The sequence below is a fragment of the Homo sapiens genome, chromosome 14 (genome assembly GCF_000001405.40).
Source record: "Homo sapiens chromosome 14, GRCh38.p14 Primary Assembly".
Classification (NCBI taxonomy): Eukaryota; Metazoa; Chordata; class Mammalia; order Primates; family Hominidae; genus Homo; species Homo sapiens.
The window spans coordinates 39,011,881-39,027,398 of NC_000014.9; the positions used below are offsets into that span (position 1 = coordinate 39,011,881).

The following is a 15,518-nucleotide window of genomic DNA, read 5'->3' on the forward strand; positions in this document are numbered from 1 at the left end:
AGGCCTCCTCAGAACATCATCTCTCGTGTCTAAATGACAGGTATTTCCCAGACACCTCCTTGTTGATTGCATTCAGCCTGACACTCTTCAGGCTTCTCCATTCTGTACATTTCCCTGCTTTATTCTGCCATGTGATCCTCATTGCCTTCAAGAGAAAATCTAAACTTCTTAACCTTATTGATATGGTTTGGATGTTGTCCCGTCTAAATCTCATGTTGAATTGTAATCCCCAATGTTGGAGGTGGGGCCTAAAGGGAGGTGATTCGGTCACAAGAGGGGATCCCTCATGGCTTGGTGCTATCTTTGTGACAGTCGTGAGTTCTCATGAGATCTGGTTATTTAAAAGTGTGTGGCACTTCCTCCTCCTCTCTTGCTCGGGTTTTCACCATGTGAGGCACTTGCTCCCTCTTTGCCTTCCACCGTGAGTACAAGCTCTCTGAGGCCCTGAGCAGAAGCCAAGCAGATGTCAGTGCCATATTTCCTGCACAGCCTGAAGAACTGTAAGCCAATCAAACCTCTTTTCTTTATAAATTACCCAGCCCCAGGTATTTATTTATAGCAACACAGGAACAGCCTAACACATCTGACTTACATGGATCTTCAAGATCTGGCCTATGTTTATCTCACCAGTATCATTTACTGAATTTTCCCAGTGTATTTAATTGGGAGAGACAGAAATTACTCAACTAAGATCACTTTCTAGACTCTTGCAAGTGAATTGCTTGCTAGATTTTCTTGCAGCTACCAACATTCTCTTTGCAACACGTGCCTGATATAGGACCAGAGCCTGGGAAAGTGCTATACACGTTCAGTGATGGTGATGATGCAGTTGGGAATGAGGTGCTGGAAGTAGACTATAGGTCCATTAAAAATAAGTGAATCAGGGCCAAGCGCGGTGGCTCACGCCTGTAATCCCAGCACTTTGGGAGGCCGAGGCGGGTGGATCACTTGAGGCCAGGAGTCTGAGACCAGCCTGGCCAGCATGAGGAAACCCCATCTCTACCAAAAATACAAAAAAAAAAATATTAGCCTGGCGTGGCGGTGCATGCCTGTAATCCCAGCTACCCGAGAGGCTGAGGTATGAGAATCACTTGAACCCGGGAGGCAGGGGTTGCAGTGAGCTGAGATCGTGCCACTGCACTCCAGCCTGGGTGACAGAGCAAGACTCTGTCTCAAAAAAAAAAAAGACAAAAGAAAAAAAAAGAAATCAGGAGCTTTGGAAGAGAGAGAGAGGAAAGTAGGAGACGGTTAATAGTAAAAGAGGGAGATTTGGGACATGTCTGAGGCCTTGTGCCTCAACCTAATATCAAAATGCCTGGTGGAGGAGATAAATAGTAGAGATTCCAGGTAAGTGTGAAAATCTCCAGTGAAAAGGAGCTTGTATTTTTCTTCCTGACTGGAGTTCTATTCCACCAACAGACAGCTATATAAGTAGATAGTAGCAGGGAGATGGCCCAAGAGAACACCTGCTCACCCTCACTCACATGTACCAGAGTATGGCTGGGGAGCTGGGAAGAGCTTCAAGAGGTTTCAAAACCCTTAGTGAAGGGTCCAGAAGGTGTCTGAAAATTACAAGACAAAACACTGAGCTTAACCCAATTGAGTGGCTGTGTACAGCACACAGCCAGCGGCCAGAGGGTAGACCAGATGAGTTTTGGAAGACCACCGGGCCACTGTGAGCAGATGTGGAACCTAGCCAGCAGGGGGTCATGGCTGGCCTCTCCTGGAGCACCCCCAAGAGAAACAGCCCACAAGATACAGAAGTAACAGATAGTGAGGAAAAGGCTGATGGCCAAAAGCCAAATGGAATTGCCTTCCAGCCAAAAGCCAGTGATGACCAAACGCCTCTTCCTTGATCTTAGGACCACATGAAAGCTCCACAAGGGTTTGATCACTCTCAGGAAAGGGGCAGAAGAGGGGCACAGATTCTAGAGAAAACCACTTGGGTTTACATCTCAAGTCTGCCAGTAAGCGCTGTGTGACCTTGAGCAAGTTTTTTAAACAATCTGTGCCTTAGTTTCCTCATTGACAAAATGGCAATAATAACGGCACCTATCTTATGGGTTATCCTTCGCACATAGAACCATGCTTGGTGCAGGATGAGCACTCAATTCATGTTGCCAGGTAGTAATAAAAACATTATTAGACATTATCAGTAAAGACATATTAGTAATAAAGATGTTATTAATGCACGTGATGATATATTTGTATACAATCTGTACAGTGCAATCTGTGGGTATCACTACTTACCAGTTGTGCAACCTGTCACAGGTCTTTGAGCCTTAGTTTCCTGGTATGTAAAATGTAGATAATAATGTGGATGTAGGGTACCAGGGTCAGGCATGGTGGCTCACACCTGTAATCCCAGTGCTTTAGGAGGCCAAAGCAGGAGGATCACTTGAGCCCAGGAGTCAAGACCAGCCTGGGCAACAAAGTGAGACCTTGTCTCTGCAAAAATAATAATAATAATGTGGAGTACCTGATAGACAATGAAGAGTTGGAGAGTAATGCCTCTCATTTGAATGACAGCCAGCACTTACAGGGCATATATTAAGCGCCAAGCAGTGTTCTAAATATATTATAGGTACTCAATTGTTTAATCTTCATACAACTCTATGAAGTAGGTGCCTATGATTTTCCCCATCTTGCAGCTGAAGAAAGAGGCCCAGAGAAGTTAAGAAATGTGTCCAGTGTAATTCGACTGGGAAATGGCAAAGCTGGGCTTTGAATCTGTACAGTGTTCCAGAGTCTGTGCTCCTATACATTTCACCCTGCCATTCCTCTGCTGTTTGCATTTGTGCTTAAAGTCAACATCAGTGGAGTCTTGTCCCCTAAAAGATATGGAACATATCTGTTTTTCCTTCTTCACTAGATGAAAATATATTTGATTATATTTTAAAAAGAAAATGTCTGAATCTAAACTCTGCTGCATTACCTCTACTGGAAATAGCAAATACTCAGACATAGATACTTAGAAATATCTGAGACACCACTATTTCTAACGTTTACCAAGCTGTTTATCCCCACAGAAGAAGCCCCCCACTCAGATAAGTAATTCACTCAAGCATGGAAACTGAGTAGGAGAGAATTTTTAACATTTTAGAATCTTCCACTAGATATCACTTTCTGACATAAATTCCCCTGACTATGGGTCTAGTGCTTTTGCTGGATCAAAAGTATTACTGCACTTTTAAATCTATACTTAGGTTGTGACCAAAATGAAAATGTGGCCAAAATATTAAATATTCTGCAAGAAATAGGTTAAAAATGTGGTCACATGTGAAGATGCTAGGATGAGGTGACCTCAAAATCCCACCCAACCTTTCTTGTTGTGCTATAGAATCCATAATTGCTGCTTTTAAAACAGTTGACTTACAGAGCATATAAAGAATTTCATTTATTTATAATTTTTTATGGGAACTCAGACTTTGAAAGTCTTTCATGCATGGTGTGCAGCTGAAGTCATTTTTCAATTTTGTACCCTTTCGGCAAACTATGTTTTACTTTTGGGGTCCAATTATTTCAGACATGAGCAAGGATTACCTTTTAAAATCAAGGACTAAAGCTTGGGTGTTGATAGAAAAAAATCACATAAAGAATTATTAATAGAAAAGTTCAGAATTTAAAGTGGAGAAAGATACTAAAAGCCTTGAGTTTCCTATTACAGAAGGAGCTACTGCCTCCCTGCGGTGATGAAGTGTCAGTGCCTTCAAACTACATTTGTCTCTTGATTGAAGTTTAGTTATCCTTAGCACTTTCAGATATGAAAAGCTTTCCTCTTTCTTTTTAGTTTATCCCTCTCGAATTTCTTTCTTTCGTCATTCTCTTATTTGCTCAAAGAAGCTTTAATAATATTAAAAAACAGAGTGAATTTAAAATGTTCACTCAGTTCAAAAGCTATTTCAGCAACCCTACAAATAAGTACAAAGTGAAAATAATAGAGAGAAATGTAATATCTCCCAATAGAACAAAAAAGCGCAGAATAATTTGTGACTCCCAACACAAATTTTCACAACCCTTCTAAAATTTAATAGTAAAGAACACTTGGCTAGAAATAAAATTGTAATATTAATTTTTTTAAATCACAAGATTCAGAAATAAGGGAGAATACACGCTAATGTATATAAGTCATCTAACACATGGAAAAATATTTCATTGATTATTTTAAATGAAATTACAATTTTCTTTCCAGGGAGTGTTTTGGGAAGATAATTGATTAAATCCTGTATGCTTCTCTCCCCGCAGATATCTGAGTGGTAGGTTAGTTCTAACTTTCTACAATCATGAGCAAGTGCTATTTTTAGTACAAGGTACTGCTCCATAAGTCATATTTATCCCTAGTCTATCAGCAGGTATGTAACCTACATACTACTGCATATAACATTATTGAATGATAATATCCCTGAGCTATTTTTTTAGCCACAACTGCCAAAAAATACCTACTGATGTTATGCAAGATGTTATAAAGTTGTGCAAAGGAGTGTCCATGTTTGGCTCAGACTCCAGGCAAGTAGGGCATTTCTTCACTAGAACACCCTTCCTGTGGCTACAGCCCACAAAAAAATCCCCACACTGCAGAGTGGACACAGCAGGCAGAAAGAACACGAACACACAACACTGCAGAAAGCTGTAGCAGCATCTCATTATTTTTATTAACAAGAATAGTAGACAGATGGCCTCATCCAGCATTTTGGAGAAAAGCATGGCCTTTCATTAGAATCCGTTGATAAGGATTCAGCTCTTAAGGTCTCTCTCTCTCTGTCTCTCTCTGTCTCTCACTCTCTCTCTCTCTCTCTCTTTCTTCACGGGCTGTCACTCTGCTGCCTAGGCTGGAGTGCAGTGGCATGATCATAGCTCCGTTCGGTTTTAAACACATGGGTTAAATCGATCTCCCACCTCAGCCTCCCAAGTAGCTGAGACAACAGGCATGCACCACCATTCCTGGCTCAGCTCCTAAGGTTTAGTAAATCCTGTGAGTAAAAATAAACGTCTAGGTAAGAAGTGTATATCCCAGAGCCAACACAGTGGGGCAAGCATTGAGTGGGTGGGGCCTAGGAGAAACTCTTCATGTGCTGGGAGAAGAACACATCAGAGAACAGAACCATTCCCAAGACATACTGATGAGCAAGTATCCCTGAGAGAAGAACCAGAGAATGACAATGGAATTCTCCATGTGTGTATCATTTATACTTTTCTTGTGGATAAATGTATAACAAGTGGCTTGGACTAAGATGCCAAGATAACAGATAGCAAATTCCAAGTGAGCTATAAGATGGATTACCGGTTATACAGGGGTAGAGCCAAGATGGCTGAATAGGAACAGCTCTGGTCTACAGCTCCCAGCGTGAGCGACGCAGAAGACAGAAGATGGGTGATTTCTGCATTTCCATCTGAGGTACCAGGTTCATCTCACTAGGGGGTGCCAGACAGTGGGCGCAGGACAGTGGGTGCAGCGCACCTTGCGCGAGCCGAAGCAAGGCGAGGCATCGCCTCGCTCGGGAAGTGCAAGGGGTCAGGGAGTTCCCTTTCCTAGTCAAAGAAAGGGGTGACAGACCGCACCTGGAAAATCGGGTCACTCCCACGCTAATACTGCGCTTTTCCAACGGGCTTAAAAAACGACACACAAGGAGATTATACCCCGCACCTGGCTCGGAGGATCCTAGGCCCACGGAGTCGCGCTGATTGCTAGTACAGCAGTCTGAGATCAAACTGCAAGGCGGCAGTGAGGCTGGGGGAGGGGCACCTGCCATTGCCCAGGCTTGATTAGGTAAACAAAGCAGCCGGGAAGCTCCAACTGGGTGGAGCCCACCACAGCTCAAGGAGGCCTGCCTGCCTCTGTAGGCTCCACCTCTGGGGGCAGGGCACAGACAAACAAAAAGACAGCAGTAACCTCTGCAGACTTAAATGTCCCTGTCTGACAGCTTTGAAGAGAGTAGTGGTTTTCTCCCAGCACGTGGCTGGAGATCTGAGAACGGGCAGACTGCCTCCTCAAGTGGGTCCTTGACCCCCAAGCAGCCTAACTGGGAGGCACCCCCCGGTAGGGGCAGACTGACACCTCACACGGCCCGGTACTCCTCTGAGACAAAACTTCCAGAGGAACGATCAGGCAGCAGCATTTGCGGTTCACCAAGATCCACTGTTCTACAGCCATCACTGCTGATACGCAGGCAAACAGGGTCTGGAGTGGACCTCTAGCAAACTCCAACAGACCTGCAGCTGAGGGTCCTGTCTGTTAGAAGGAAAACTAACAAACAGAAGGGACATCCATACCAAAAACCCTTCTGTACGTCACCATCATCAAAGACCAAAAGTAGATAAAACCACAAAGATGGGGAAAAAACAGAGCAGAAAAACTGGAAACTCTAAAAAGCAGAATGCCTCTCCTCCTCCAAAGGAACGCAGCTCCTCACCAGCAACGGAACAAAGCTGGATGGAGAATGACTTTGACGAGCTGAGAGAAGAAGGCTTCAGATGATCAACCTACTCCAAGCTACAGGAGGAAATTCAAACCAATGGCAAAGAAGTTAAAAACTGTGAAAAAAAATTAGACTAATGGATAACTAGAATAACCAATGCAGAGAAGTCCATAAAGGAGCTGATGGAGCTGAAAGCCAAGGGTCGAGAACTACATGAAGAATGCCGAAGCCTCAGGAGCCGATGCGATCAACTGGAAGAAAGGGTATCAGTGACGGAAGATGAAATGAATGAAAAGAAGCGAGAAGAGAAGTTTAGAGAAAAAAGAATAAAAAGAAACGAACAAAGCCTCCAAGAAATATGGGACTATGTGAAAAGACCAAATCTACGTCTCATTGGTGTACCTGAAAGTGACGGGGAGAATGGAACCAAGTTGGAAAACACTCTACAGGATATTATCCAGGAGAACTTCCCCAATCTAGAAAGGCAGGCCAACATTCAGATTCAGGAAACACAGAGAACGCCACAAAGATACTCCTTGAGAAGAGCAACTCCAAGACACATAATTGTCAGATTCACCAAAGTTGAAATGAAGGAAAAAATGTTAAGGGCAGCCAGAGAGAAAGGTCGGGTTACCCACAAAGGGAAGCCCATCAGACTAACAGCGGATCTTTCGGCAGAAACTCTACAAGCCAGAAGAGAGTGGGGGCCAATATTCAACATTCTTAAAGAAAAGAATTTTCTACCCAGAATTTCGTATCCAGCCAAACTAAGCTTCATAAGTGAAAGAGAAATAAAATATTTTAAAGACAAGCAAATGCTGAGAGATTTTGTCACCACCAGGCCTGCCCTAAAAGAGCTCCTGAAGGAAGCAGTAAACATGGAAAGGAACAACCGGTACCAGCCGCTGCAAAAACATGCCAAAATGTAAAGACCGTCAAGGCTAGGAAGAAACTGCATCAACTGACAAGCAAAATAACCAGCTAATATCATAATGACAGGAACAAATACACATAAAAATATTAACTTTAAATGTAAATGGGCTAAATGCTCCAATTAAAAGACACAGACTGGCAAATTGGATAAAGAGTCAAGACCCATCAGTGTGCTGTATTCAGGGAACCCATCTCACGTGCAGAGACATACATAGGCTCAAAATAAAGGGATGGAGGAAGATCTACCAAGCAAATGGAAAACAAAAAAAGGCAGGGGTTGCAATCCTAGTCTCTGATAAAACAGACTTCAAACCAACAAAGATCAAAAGAGACAAAGACGGCCATTACATAATGGTAAAGGGATCAATTCAACAAGAGCTAACTATCCTAAATATATATGCACCCAATACAGGAGCACCCAAATTCATAAAGCAAGTCCTTAGTGACCTACAGAAAGACTTAGACTCCCACACAATAATAATGGGAGACTTTAACACCCCACTGTCAACATTACACAGATCAACAAGACAGAAAGTTAACAAGGATACCCAGGAATTGAACTCAGCTCTGCACCAAGCAGACCTAATAGACATCTACAGAACTCTCCACCCCAAATCAACAGAATATACATTTTTTTCAGCACCACACCACACCTATTCCAAAATTGACCACATACTTGGAAGTAAAGCTCTCCTCAGCAAATGTAAAACAAAAGAAATTATAACAAACTGTCTCTCAGACCACAGTGCAATCAAACTAGAACTCAGGATTAAGAAACTCACTCAAAACCGCTCAACTACATGGAAACTGAAAAATCTGCTCCTGAATGACTACTGGGTACATAACGAAATGAAGGCAGAAATAAAGATGTTCTTTGAAACCAATGAGAACAAAGACAAAACATACCAGAATCTCTGGGACACATTCAAAGCAGTGTGTAGAGGGAAATTTATAGCACTAAATGCCCACAAGAGAAAGCAGGAAAGATCCAAAATTGACACCCTAACATCACAATTAAAAGAACTAGAAAAGCAAGAGCAAACACATTCAAAAGCTAGCAGAAGACAAGAAATAACTAAAATCAGAGCAGAACTGAAGGAAATAGAGACACAAAAAGCCCTTCAAAAAATTAATGAGTCCAGGAGCTGGTTTTTTGAAAAGATCAACAAAATCGATAGACCACTACCAAGACTAATAAAGAAGAAAAGAGAGAAGAATCAAATAGACGCAATAAAAAATGATAAAGGGGATATCACCACCGATCCCACAGAAATACAAACTACCATCAGAGAATACTACAAACACCTCTACACAAATAAACTAGAAAATCTAGAAGAAATGGATAAATTCCTCGACACATACACCCTCCCAAGACTAAACCAGGAAGAAGTTGAATCTCTGAATAGACCAATGACAAGCTCTGAAATTGTGGCAATAATCAATAGCTTACCAACCAAAAAAAGTCCAGGACCAGATGGATTCACAGCCGAACTCTACCAGAGGTACAAGGAGGAGGTGGTACCATTCCTTCTGAAACTATTCCAATCAATAGAAAAAGAGGGAATCCTCCCTAACTCATTTTATGAGGCCAGCATCATCCTGATACCAAAGCCTGGCAGAGACACAACCAAAAAATAGAATTTTAGACCAATATCCTTGATGAACATTGATGCAAAAATCCTCAATAAAATACTGGCAAACCGAATCCAGCAGCACATCAAAAAGCTTATGCACCATGATCAAGTGGGCTTCATCCCTGGGATGCAAGGCTGGTTCAACATACGCAAATCAATAAATGTAATCCAGCATATAAACAGAACCAAAGACAAAAACCACATGATTATCTCAATACATGCAGAAAAGGCCTTTGACAAAATTCAACAGCCCTTCATGCTAAAAACTCTCAATAAATTAGGTATTGATGGGACATATCTCAAAATAATAAGAGCTATCTATGACAAACCCACACCCAATATCATACTGAATGGGCAAAAACTGGAAGCATTCCCTTTGAAAACTGGCACAAGACAGGGATGCCCTCTCTCACTACTCCTATTCAACATAGTGTTGGAAGTTCTGGCCAGGGCAATTAGGCAGGAGAAGGAAATAAAGGGTATTCAATTAGGAAAAGAGGAAGTCAAATTGTCCCTGTTTGCAGATGACATGATTGTATATCTAGAAAACCCCATTGTCTCAGCCCAAAATCTCCTTAAGCTGATAAGCAGCTTCAGCAAAGTCTCAGGATACAAAATCAATGTACAAAAATCACAAGCTTTCTTATACACCAATAACAGACAAACAGAGAGCCAAATCATGAGTGAACTCCCATTCACTTTTGCTTCAAAGAGAATAGAATACCTAGGAATCCAACTTACAAGGGATGTGAAGGACCTCTTCAAGGAGAACTACAAACCACTGCTCAATGTAATAAAAGAGGATACAAACAAATGGAAGAACATTCCATGCTCATGGGTAGGAAGAATCAATATCGTGAAAATGGCCATACTGCCCAAGGTAATTTATAGATTCAATGCCATCCCCATCAAGCTACCAATGACTTTCTTCACAGAATTGGAAAAAACTACTTTAAAGTTCATATGGAACCAAAAAAGAGCCCGCATTGCCAAGTCAATCCTAAGCCAAAAGAACAAAGCCAGAGGCATCACGCTACCTAACTTCAAACTATACTACACGGCTACAGTAACCAAAACAGCATGGTACTGGTACCAAAACAGAGATATAGATCAATGGAACAGAACAGAGCCCTCAGAAATAATGCCGCATATCTACAGCCATCTGATCTTTGACAAACCTGACAAAAACAAGAACTGGGGAAAGGATTCCCTATTTAATAAATGGTGCTGGGAAACCTGGCTAGCCATATGTAGAAAGCTGAAAGCTGAAACTGGATCCCTTCCTTACACCTTATACAAAAATTAATTCAAGATGGATTAAAGACTTAAATGTTAGACCTAAAACCATAAAAACCCTAGAAGAAAACCTAGGCATTACCATTCAGTACATAGGCATGGGCAAGGACTTCATGTCTAAAACACCAAAAGCAATGGCAACAAAAGCCAAAATTGACAAATGGGATCTAATTAAACTAAAGAGCTTCTGCACAGAAAAAGAAACTACCATCAGAGTGAACAGGCAACCTACAAAATGGGAGAAAATTTTCGCAACCTACTCATCTGACAAAGGGCTAATATCCAGAATCTACAATGAACTCAAACAAATTTACAAGAAAAAACAACCCCATCAAAAAGTGGGCAAAGGATATGAACAGACACTTCTCAAAAGAAGACATTTATGCAGCCAAAAAACACATGAAAACATGCTCATCATCACTGGCCATCAGAGAAATGCAAATCAAAACCATAATGAGATACCATCTCACACCAGTTAGAATGGCAATCATTAAAAAGTCAGGAAACAACAGGTGCTGGAGAGGATGTGGAGAAATAGCAACACTTTTACACTGTTGGTGGGACTGTAAACTAGTTCAACCATTGTGGAAGTCAGTGTGGCGATTCCTCAGGGATCTAGAACCAGAAATACCATTTGACCCAGCCATCCCATTACTGGGTATATACCCAAAGGATTATAAATCATGCTGCTATAAAGACACATGCACACGTATGTTTATTGCAGCACTATTCACAATACCAAAGACTTGGAACCAACCCAAATGTCCAACAACGATAGACTGATTAAGAAAATTTGGCACATATACACCATGGAATACTATGCGGCCATAAAAAATGAAGAGTTCATGTCCTTTGTAGGGACATGGATGAAATTGGAAACCATCATTCTCAGCAAACCATTGCAAGGACAAAAAACCAAATACCGCATGTTCTCACTCATAGGTGGGAATTGAACAGTGAGAACACATGGACACAGGAAGGGGAACATCACACTCCGGGGACTGTTGTGGGGTGGGGGGAGGGGGGAAGAATAGCATTAGGAGATATACCTAATGCTAAATGACGAGTTAATGGGTGCAGCACACCAACATGGCACATGTATACATATGTAACAAACCTACACGTTGTGCACATGTACCCTAAAACTTAAAGTATAATAATAATAAAATTTAAAAAATATATTTAAAAAAAAAGACAGATTACCACGGAGAAAAGTAGATGAGGTGGTGCATGTTTCCACCTAGCACAGGACCTAGCCATTGTTAAACAGGGTTTTGTCTATGGCTTATAGTGACCTTTAAGTCTATTAGATAAAAGTGACCCGAAATCAGTCTGCTAGAGTCTTTACCATTAGTTGGGGAGGCTGGAAGAGAGTATAATTAGTCTACTTAATTATCATTATTCTTACTAAGGAAACTTTTTCCTATCAAGTCATTTCATAGGTTCAGCAACCAGTCTATGGATTAGGTGCCCTTAGGAAACTTGATCCCACCCCTTTGCTTAAGGAAGAGACGGAGGCTGGCTCCTTAGTCCAGCAGAGAGATGCAAGCAGGAGGATGTGGACATGCTGATTGACATGACTAGTATACTAATGTTAAGAATTAGGGTTTTCTACTCTGTACAGATAACTTTAGACTTTATTAATTAACAGATCTTATCTGCTATGGGAACAGATCCAAATTTAACATACAGCATAGCTACATTATAATTAAACACATTTTGTGATCACATCCTTCTTAATAAATAAAAGTAAGCTCTGGACATGTTTAAACATGTTTCTATTTGACAATCACAGCTTCAGTAATCTATTTAATAATAAGAAATCCCCGAATCACTCCACAGAGCTATTATTTTGTGGAAGGTCCTGCAGAAAGGGGAGGATTTTTAACCCAGTTAGTTTCCTTCAACAGATACAGGCAGATTCTTAAGTGTTACAGATAGCTAATGATACCAACTTAAAACCAAAAGGGGCAGATGGGGAAGCAGATGTAGCTGTCACCGTATATATAGGCTGAGTACGCACAGCAGGTGCACTGAATGTTCTTGCCAAAGAACCTGCAATAATAAAACATTAGCTCCCTGAAACCATGCTGGACTTTAGACTCCAAATGGAAAATAATCATTAGAGTCATTTACAACAAGCCATGTCAGAAGTGTGTATGGCACTCAATAAGTAAATATAATTTAAAAGGCCCAATGTAAATATGCAAGAAGATAAGAAGAGTCACCACATAACAAACACAAAAATAGAAGTCTGTTGGTCCAAAGTCTGCTCAGAGACTGTCACATTTACTTCTCTAACTCCAGGCAGAGTGATGTCTATCTATACTGTAATAGTTAGCTAATCAATTAACAAACATACCTAATTAAGAACATTGCATAACATGCCTTGGCAATGTATTTTATGGTCCTAAAAAGTAGGAGATATCTTCCTTAAAATAATTAAAGACCTTTTTTTTTTTTGAGATGGAGTCTCACTCTGTTGCCCAGGCTAGAGTGCAGTGGTACGATCTCGACTAACTGCAACCTCTGTCTCCCGGGTTCAAGCAATTCTCCTGCCTCAGCCTCCTGAGGATCCGGGATTACAGGCATGCGCCACCACACCCAGCTAATTTTTGTATTTTTGGTAGAGACAGGGTTTCACCACGTTGGCCAGGCTGGTCTCGAACTCCTGACCTCAAACGATCCACCCTCCTCGGCCTCCCAAAGTGCTAGGATTACACTTTGGGAGTAAACTGAGCCACCATGCCTGGCCAAAAGACAATTATTAATCAAGCCATTTCACAATTTATTACTTAGAATCTTATTTTCTCAACATCCCTATTAAATTAAGAACCTAACTCTGGGTTTTCATCAAAACCCTGAATTCAATGATAACATTCTCTTCAGTTACATGATCTTGTACTACCATTAATATTTCAGCAACCTGATGGCCTTTTTAATAGAAATACTCCTTGCTGAAAAAGATATACTTGATAAATCAATAGGCTTAATGTTCTCATTAAAAATAGAATTTTAGAATTAAACATTGCAGGAGACCATACAGGATGGCATAATCTGTGCTCGACAAAGAAGGATTGTGTCTGACTGTGCTCCCTAACTACCTTATTAGTATTTAGTAAATAATTAAAGAAGAGCAATTTCATCTATTCTCATAACTTCAGCTATTATTCCATGCTATGGCTCCCAAAACTGAGTCTCCTGAGTCCAAAATGCACATTTCCAAGTGACTGCTGGACTTCTTCCTATGGGAATCCCAAAACATGACAACGCTGCTCTTAGCTGACATTGCCATTTACATTGTGGTCTGCCTGCCACAGCAGCAGCACTGATATCACCTGAGAGCTTGTTAGAATGCAACGCCTCAGACCTACTCGATGGAAATCTGCATTTTATCATTATTCCTTGAGGATTCATGTTCAAGTTTGAGAAGCACTGCTCTGTGATTCTTTCATCTCTTCTTTACAAATGTTTTCAAACATGCAGAATACCTAACCTATTAGCATCTCACAAGGATTTGATAAAGATTAATTTTTAAACCTCTGCAGATTTACTTTTAAATTGCCTTGAAGAAAAGGCTCTAAGCCACTAAATAAAGTGAAATGTGATCCTTCCTTATTGGAGGTTCTTTATTCAGTATACTTATCACTTCAAAGTGACATCTTTACTGCTACTCATAAGTAATCTTCAGATTTGTTATTCTTAGAAAAAGTTCTAATCTCTACAAAAATTGTTGATTTTGTCAATTTTCCTATTTTGCCAAAACAAACAGTGCCGTCCCCAGAACAGGTTAAATGTACACACAGGATCATTCTGTGGATGCTTCACCCTGTACCCTGTTAAGGCAGTTGAGCAAGATCTTGACCAGAAGAGAAAACAGCAGCTTCCCCAGCACAGCAGGCCACACTTTCCACAGGAAACAGACTCATAACACCAAGCTCTACAATGTACTTTTCTTCACTTAAATACACAGTTATTGCAGTTGGAAAATATACAGTTCTGTGGAGAGTGTGTCCACGATGTCCTGCTTGGGAGCATTCTTCTAATTGGCAAACACCTGCTACATAACTGTCTACCCACTTTCTTTTAATGACAGTATCAAAGACTGCCAGATGGCCTTTTAGGTGAAAGCTAATAGCCCCTCAGATTGTGTTATTGTGTAAAATGGAGTTAAGTATTTCCCCATAAAATTCTGGTCAAAGTTGACTTTGGTATGTCATATACAAATCCTTCCTAACTCAGCAACATTCTTTTCTCTAAAGGTAAAAGTCACTCACAGCATTCAGCAACTTACAGCTGTGTTGTTTGACTTATCACTGAAGGTATTTTACAGAGGTCAGGTGACCAACAGTGATATTGTGAAGGGATCCTTGAATGAATTGGGTAAAGAGATAGGACTTAACAATTTCAATTGACCCTTTTAACTCCGAAAGTCCAGTTTCCCAAACTGTATTCATGAGTGGTGAATGTATGATGATTGTTACATCAAGTCTCACTTGAAATTCATTAGAGGAAAAGTAGATGGATCTTGATCATTAAATAACTAAGCAATTATGCTTCTTAATTGGCCTGGGCAAAAAACTTTGAATAATTTTTAAGACTAACATAAAAAAAAAACACATGTATTTTACACTTATCAGAAGAATTGATATTCAATTTTCTTCTTAGCTTTAGAAATGGATTAATACTTTCAAACTATCACTTTTTTGCTTTTATGAACGACTCCATTGATTCGTTTTGCTCATCTCATTAAAATTCTGATTTTAAGCCAGGCACGGTGGCTTGCACATGTAATCCTGGCTATTCAGAAGGCTAAGACAGAAGGATCACTTGAGGCCAGGAGATTGAGACGAGCCTGAGCACTACAGCAAGATCCTGTCTCTAAAAAAAAACAAACAAAAAAACAAAAAAACAGAAAAAGAAAAATTCTGACTTTATCATTATCTCCTTTCCCTTTCTTTCTTTAGATTTATTTGTTCTCCTTTGCTGTTTTCTTGGGTTGAATGCAACATTTACTTCTTTTCAATTCTTTCTCCAGTTGCATTTAAAACAACTTATTTCTGTGTAATAATCCCTTTTCAATACAAATTTTGGCATATTTTTACTGTTCAGTTCTAAACGTATTATGATTTTCATTGAAATTTCTCAACTTATGAGTAAATCAAACCTGATTGATTGGTTTCCTAACGATTTAACAAGGATAGAGCAGTAGGTTTGAATTGTATTATCACCCCATGCC

General features: G+C 40.5%; 3 annotated features.

Annotated features, from left to right (window-relative positions):
* Positions 5,022-5,532: an enhancer, noted in NCBI's record as "OCT4-NANOG-H3K27ac-H3K4me1 hESC enhancer chr14:39486106-39486616 (GRCh37/hg19 assembly coordinates)". NCBI's record gives its function as "activates a minimal SCP1, AML or CMV promoter by ChIP-STARR-seq in naive H9 embryonic stem cells {active_cell/tissue: H9 hESC(naive)}" and the evidence as "EXISTENCE:reporter gene assay evidence [ECO:0000049][PMID:30033119]".
* Positions 5,533-6,043: an enhancer, noted in NCBI's record as "OCT4-NANOG-H3K27ac-H3K4me1 hESC enhancer chr14:39486617-39487127 (GRCh37/hg19 assembly coordinates)". NCBI's record gives its function as "activates a minimal SCP1, AML or CMV promoter by ChIP-STARR-seq in naive H9 embryonic stem cells {active_cell/tissue: H9 hESC(naive)}" and the evidence as "EXISTENCE:reporter gene assay evidence [ECO:0000049][PMID:30033119]".
* Positions 14,405-14,699: a silencer, noted in NCBI's record as "tiled region #2779; HepG2 Repressive DNase matched - State 5:Enh, and K562 Repressive non-DNase unmatched - State 23:Low". NCBI's record gives its function as "represses a minimal TATA promoter and a strong SV40 promoter by Sharpr-MPRA in HepG2 and K562 cells {active_cell/tissue: HepG2 | K562}" and the evidence as "EXISTENCE:reporter gene assay evidence [ECO:0000049][PMID:27701403]".